At 39.2% G+C, this 7,071-nt stretch overlaps 1 annotated feature.

Moving 5' to 3' along the window:
• Positions 6,048-6,506: a silencer, noted in NCBI's record as "fragment chr1:119078188-119078646 (GRCh37/hg19 assembly coordinates)". NCBI's record gives its function as "represses an EF-1alpha promoter that drives an FKBP-Casp9 reporter gene in an ReSE screen in phorbol 12-myristate 13-acetate-treated (for megakaryocytic differentiation) K562 erythroleukemia cells {active_cell/tissue: K562(+PMA)}" and the evidence as "EXISTENCE:reporter gene assay evidence [ECO:0000049][PMID:32094911]".

Genomic DNA, 7,071 nt, shown 5'->3' with positions numbered 1-7,071 from the left:
GACCACCCCTCCCTCTGGGAGTGCTGTCCCAGGAAGAATTCAACTCTCTGTTGGCTGGAGAACATGGGCAGAGTTGTCTGGAGGCTCCAGTTGGGAGGTTCAGCCCAGTGAGGAGGAACAGATTGGGCACTTGCTTAAAGCAGCAGTCTGGCCACATTTTGGTAGAGCAGCTATGTTTTACTGGAGCATCCCTTCCACTCTTTGTTGACTTGGACCCTCTAAAGCCTATAGGCTGGAACAGCTAAGGCATCCAAACAGCAAAGATGGTGACCCACTTCTCCCCCTGGGAGATGCAATGCCCCTATCATTTGCTGCCTGGAATTCCAAGCCAGTGGGTCTTATCTTGTGATGTGCAATGGCAGTGAGGCTTGCAGGCTGTCGCTGCTCAGCCCTCTGGATTCAACCTCTTTCCTAGGGGTATGTACAGGAGTCTAATCTTCCATGTGGCCGGAGATGCAGCTTTTTTGCTGGAAAGCCCGAGTATTTAAGTCTCCAGGGTCTCCAAGAATGCCTGAGTGGCCGCTCTGCTGAGTTTCCACATAGCTCTGTCAGACTGAAGGCCTGGTGGAGTAAGTTTGCAAGGGCATCTCTTGACCCAAGCATTTCAAAGATCCATGGGAGAAGCATGGTTTTCCAGGGTTGCACCTTCACTCACTGCTTCCCTGGTCTGGGGAGGTTCCTCTGGCTCTGTATTGCTCCCCAGTGGGCTATTGTCCTGTCTTGCTTTTCTTCATTCTCTGTGGGCCAAGTTGTTTCCTTGATTAGTCCCAAAGTGAGTACCTGGATATTTCAGTTGAAGGTGTTGTGCTTACTTTTCTCTTCCATTCTTCTCCATGAGAGTCATGAACACTAGCTCCTTCTAGTTGGCCATCTTGGCCACTCCCTCTCTCACCTTTTATTCTAATTTTTTATCTCTCTCATTTAGTAGATCATAAATTCAGTAGGATCTACTTCTTTAATTATTATAGAGGTAGATTACCATAATTATATAATTATTGAATATGTCACAGACACTTCAACCACTAATCCTAACACTGCATTTTTAGCTCCTAAAACTTATATTTATTTATAATATTTGCCTTTTAAAATATTCATTGTGCCTTCAAAGCTCAGCAGATAAAATATAAACTTCTTATATTGGCCTGTGAAGTTCAAAGTCTGTCTTCAACTGACATTTCCAACTCCAAGAAGCTACTACAAGGGTTCTACATTCCTGAACTCACCAAATACTTTCGTGCCTCCACGTCTTTGCCCATGCTATTTCTAGTACCTGGAATACCCTTTCTGTCTTGTTCCATTTCTCCATCTTCTCAAAGAATGAAGCTATCACTCAAAATGATGAGACAAATAAACAAAACATGCTGAATTTATTGCTTGGCTAAGTGAAGGATATCTAGGCTGTTTGGTCACAGTTTTTCCAGGCAGGAAAACAGTTTATCTTGTATAAGGATTTGTAAAAAGCATAGAGTTCAAAAGAGTGGTGACTAGTTTGTTGTCAACTGTAGAAATGTGGTTATTTGAAGAAGACTTTTCTTGATTATGTGGCATTTGGAAGTATGTTTTTGAAATGAGTCCATTTCTGACTGGCTGACCTTCAAAAGCAAGGGGTTGTCATTAATTGATTGACTTACAGAAACATGTTCATTAAACAAGTTGTATTTGATTTAAGGAAACATTTTAATTTGATTTGGTTAAACATTTTAAATATGTTTAAAACAAATTCAGATGGTTTATGGCTGTGGAACTCTTACTCATTGATTAAGTAGGTTTAAAACTTATTCTGGTCACTATTTGTTACCCTGGCTTTAGAACAATTAGTCTTCTTGTAGGAGTGTGGGAAGTTAAAAATTTTTTTCAATCACCCTTTTACATATTTCCTCAACTAAAGTTTGAGGGAAGACATCAAGGACTACCCATATTTTCATCCTAGTTGTTGATTCTCCTTGCAGATGTGGTTTTGTTTGCACATGTCTAAATTTCACTCAACTGTTAATCAGCATGGCTTCATCCTCTTCATTGTTTTTGTTATTTGGTCAGTCATTGTTTGGGATGATGGCTACATGACAACATTTAAGACTTTGGAAAATAAATGTTGAACAATTTCATGACAAATATAAAAAGAATATTATTAAAAGAAACTGATAGACACTCTCAAATAATAAACCAAGATTTCTGAGAATTGACCAAAAAACAAATTCCACTGACTCCTTGAGTCTTCCATAGATGGATAGATTGTCTTTTATTTTAGTTTTGATATGAATTGCTCCATTTAAACCAAGCTGTTAATTCAGGTTCAACATAAATTATGAAATAGTACTGATTTCCTCTAATTGGCCAGGAGAAAATCTAAGGCTAGTTTATTTTTCATAATTACTTAGCTGAAGGAATTTTAAAAGGTCAGTTGTGTATCCAGGACAAGAGCCATAGTAGAGAATTCACTTTTGATGACCTTTTCAAGTTTTCCAGCTTCTATGAATGGGATCATTACCCTTAGGCTTTGTTTCACCAATTACTATTCATTTTCATAGGAAAGGTTGTATCCATACAGATGCTTTGTTAAGAAACTGTACATTGAGGGTACCAGTGAATCATAAACTAGAAATAGTCTAGCTATTAGCACTACAGAACAAGCAGTCTTGGTCCTGAGTTGGCACTGAAGGTGCTCATTTCCTCATAGGAAAAAGAACTCAGATACTTCAAAAGAGATATATGCAATCTTAATAGAACTGTAAATATATTATCTCTAGGTGTCATCATGACAGTCATTGTTGCATCCCAGTAGTACCTGTATCACCTTGCATTACATGGGCATTTAATTTCATTTATATATTGTCTATAAGGAGTATTATTATTGGCAAGGTCGGTGTAACATATCTTTATACTGTTTTTCAGAATGGCTGCATTAGCAATAACCTGGATGAGCTAAACTATAGAGTGGTAATTGTATTTAATAAGCCTAGACTTAAGCAAGAATTATTCATAAGAAGGCATTATGGACTAAGGTAGAAGCATATAAGTTAAAATAGCAAAGAGAAACATTATGACTAAAAGGAAAACAGACGAAACCATTTACATGAGAGTTTAGAAATCAGTACTTTAAAGTATCTGGGCCAACGGTTGGCAAATTACAGCTTGTAGGACAAATCTGGCTTATTAACTGCGTTTATAAATAAAGTTTTATTGGTATACAGCCATGCTCATTTTGTTTATGTATAGTTTATGGCTGCTTTTGCACTACATTGCAAGAGTTGAATAGTTTTGGTAGAGACTTAAAGGACTGAAAGCCTAAAATATTTATTACCTGTTTCTTTATAGAAAAATGTTGCTAACCATTAATAGACTAATTATTCCAATGGGTCTGGGTGGAAGCTATCTGCTTAATGTAGTCATCAACTTGTTCCAAATATCTTGGGTTAATAGTTAACTTCCACTAACATCTGAAACTAGGATTTCTCCACAGATCCCTATTTTAAGGTTTCTCGTTCCTTAAATCAGATCGGGGTTCTAGGGTCTAGATTAATACCTGCTATATTGAAAGCATATAATAGGTGGTTGGTAAAATGGCTTTGAATGCCTACTCTTCTCCAAGCATTGAACTCAGTGCTGCACGAATACAAGGGTAATACAGACATACTGCTTTTATCCAGTAAATATTGGGATAAAAGTATAAAAGTCGCTCTAACACAAGATTAAACATCATAAATGTTTTAAGAGGGCTATAGGCCAATAACTATGAAGACCCAAGAAACATTTGATATAGGTCTTTAAGAGATGAGGGAAAAGGGCATTTCTAGAAAATAGATCATTATGAGGAAAGGCATGGTGATAGGATAGCAGAGAACATCTCTGGGGTATAATAATCAATCCTTTATGTACCAGTATATAAAGCACCTACTAGAAAGCATTAGAAGATCTGGGGAAAGTGAATTAATTTTTTCTGGGATTGGATTTACACAGTGGCATGCTGGAGCTGGCTCACACCAGCTTATAAAAGCTGGTTGCTAATATTAAAGAATCTTTTAAGCTGGTCGTTAAATCTTTGGTAGCTTGAAATTGGCCATCTTAAGCATATTTACTCTACTGAACATGTACATGCTACATAAATAAATCTGGCTTTCATTCTCTCTCTTCCTCTTTCTATCTCCCTTCCTTCTCCTTTCTTCTTTCTTTCGTACTCTTTTCCAGATAACCGGCACACTACTGGATTTATGTAACACCAGGAATTAGATTATTATGGACCCTCTGAACAGTTGAATTGTTTCAGTTTTCATTCAGATTTAAAATGTTGCTTGTGGGTCTACTCCCTAGCCTGATAGTTTGCAAGTGAGAAGAGCCATGGAAACTGCAGAAGACAGGAGCTCCTGACTTTCTGGCCTTCCTAGGATCATGTGCAGGCTGATGCTCCCTCTTATGGTTGACAGAAATTCTTCCAGACTCCTCAGAAATAGAATTTTAGGGTTATGCATCGGAATCATGCAGCCCTATCAGTGGTCACAAAGCAATTGTGAGGGAAAAAAAACAGGCTAGGCTTGGAAGTATCTCAGCAAGAAAAAAAAGCAGTTAGAGAGAAAGAGAAAGAGGGAAGGAGGGAGGGAGATGGGGGTTAAGCATAGTGTTCTCACACCGCTATAAACAACTGCCCGAGACTGGATAATTTAAAGGAAAGAGGTTTAATTGACTCACAGTTCCACATGGCTGGGGAGGCCTTAGAAAACTTACAATCATGGCAGAAGGGGAAGCAAACACATCTTTCATCACATGGTGGCAGAAAGGAGAAGTGCCAAGCAAAGTGGGGAGAAGCCCCTTATAAAACCATCAGACCTCCTGAGAACTCACTCACTATCATGAGAGCATTATGGGGGAAACCGCCTCCATGATTCAGTTATCTCCACCTGGTCACATTCCTGACATGTGAGGATTATTACAATTCACGGTGAGATTTGGGTGGGAACATAGAGCAAAACCATATCAGGTAGAGAGGAGGGAGATAGAGAAGGGGCAGAGAGAGAGAGACAGTGAGAAATTGAGAGAGAGACAGTGAGAAAGTGAGAGAGAAGAAAACAACAATAACAATAATGGAATGAATTGGGTAAAAATAAGGCAAAGTCCAAGGGGGAGCTAAGAAGATGAGCTTAAGCTTGCAGAAAAGATATCAAGTTTTCGGAAAAGGGAAAGAGTTTACTTTGAACTATGTCTATGGTTTCATAGTTTCTGTGGCTCTTTTGGCACTAATTTATGGCATGGATCTAGCCAGAAATCATGTATATGGTTCAAACCTCAGATGAATAACTTTAGCTTTAATTGTTTAAACGAGAAAGTGTGGTTGAGAAAACCTTGGAAATGTAAGAAATTAATCAGCTGCCATCTCTTGTCTTTGAGAGTTAGAATTGAATTAACTGAGATTTCATATCTGGGCCTCCCATATTGATATGCTGATCACATATTTATTTCTAAATAAAGGTGCATAAGAATACCCCACAGGGTTACTGTAAAAATTAAATGAAATAAATTGAGTTTCCAAAATTTTCCTAATGATAGTAATCACAGAGAATGTTATACTTCACACAAAAGGGGGGGAAATCCCCTGGCATGCTTGTTAAACACATAAATTCCTAGGTCCCATCTCAGACCCACTGAATGAAAAATGTGCAGGACAGGGATCATAGAAGTTGTTTGTTTAACAAGAGCTCCAGGTTATTCTTATTATCAAGCAAATTTGGTAAAAAAAGAGTTAATATATGTGAAAATACCTTATTGTACAATAATAAGGGCATAATTGGAAAAAACTATGGAGTGAATGAGTGAACCATCAAATGACAGGTGTTATTCAGCAAGCCGTTGCAAGTTCCTTGACTCAATCTTCCATATTCAGGGGAACAATATTAATACTTATTGCTACCCAGAAGCTGGGGAAGGATTAGAGTCTGCCACTGAAAATTGCTCTGTGGTCTCTCGAAGGTAAGTGCTGTGTAAACACCAGCTGCTAGGTTTATTCATTCATTGGAGGCAGGCAGGAGAAGTTGAAAAATATTTGTCTCAGAGAGCTACTCTCTTACAGAGAATAGTGTGCGTAGGTTGTAGCTCTAAGAGACCACACACTGCTGGGGAGATATGTAGTAGGGAAGAGCAGAGTCTGTAATAATGCCAAGCAGTTGAATCTCAGATCTCCAGGGGTCAGGCACCAAAGGGGGCAGAGACATCCTTGAGAGCAATAGGTCCTGTCCCATTGACAAATGCTTTCAGGAAGAAAAGATGCTTGATTTTTTCTAAGTGAAATAATCTAGTCTCTGGGAAGAGGATCATTTTTCATGGCCCAGAACTCCTCACTGACAGTTCTCTCTGGGAAGTCATGAAGAGGGATGAGGCTCAAAGAAAGGCATTCCAGGACCTTCGCCCTTCACCATCAGCAGCATGTGATGGAGTCAGCAAAGGTGTTCCTCTGTCTGGGCTAGGTGAGGACAGCCTAGCCCAGGTTCCACAAGTGTACTTCTTTCCTTCAAAGAAGTTCTGAAAACATATGCCAGTGGGGAGGAAATCTACTCTGAGCAAGTTCTAATCACCACAGCCTACGATATTCTTCCTTCTCTCTGCCAACTTCGTCCTTCTTCACCTGCCTCCAAAATTCAATTAAGAACTGTCTTAGTACATTCTGGCTGCTATAAGAAATTTCCATAGGCTGGGTAGCTTATAAACAACAGAAATTTATTTTTCATGGATCTGGAGGCTGGGAAGTCCTCCAGATCAAGGCACCAGCAGATTCTGTGTCTGTTGAGGTCTGGCTTTCTGGTTCATAAATGTTGCCTTCATGCTGTGCCCTCACATGGTGAAAAGGGCAAGGCAGCTCTCTGAGCTTGCTTTTATAAGGGCACTAATCTTAATCATGAGGGCTTTTCTCCTATGACCTAATAACTCCCAAATGCACTGCCTCCTAATACAATTGCCTTGGGGGTTAGAATATCAGCATATGAATTTTAGAGGAACACAAACACTCAGACCATAGCAGTACTTATTCCTTTGAATGTCTTCCCTGACTCTTCCTGCTTCAGTTTCCTTCCATTTCCTAGATTCTAC

This window comes from Homo sapiens, chromosome 1 (genome assembly GCF_000001405.40).
Source record: "Homo sapiens chromosome 1, GRCh38.p14 Primary Assembly".
NCBI classification, from domain to species: domain Eukaryota; kingdom Metazoa; phylum Chordata; class Mammalia; order Primates; family Hominidae; genus Homo; species Homo sapiens.
The sequence above is the reverse complement of the archived record's forward strand: the minus strand, read 5'-3'. Positions and strand labels throughout refer to the sequence as shown.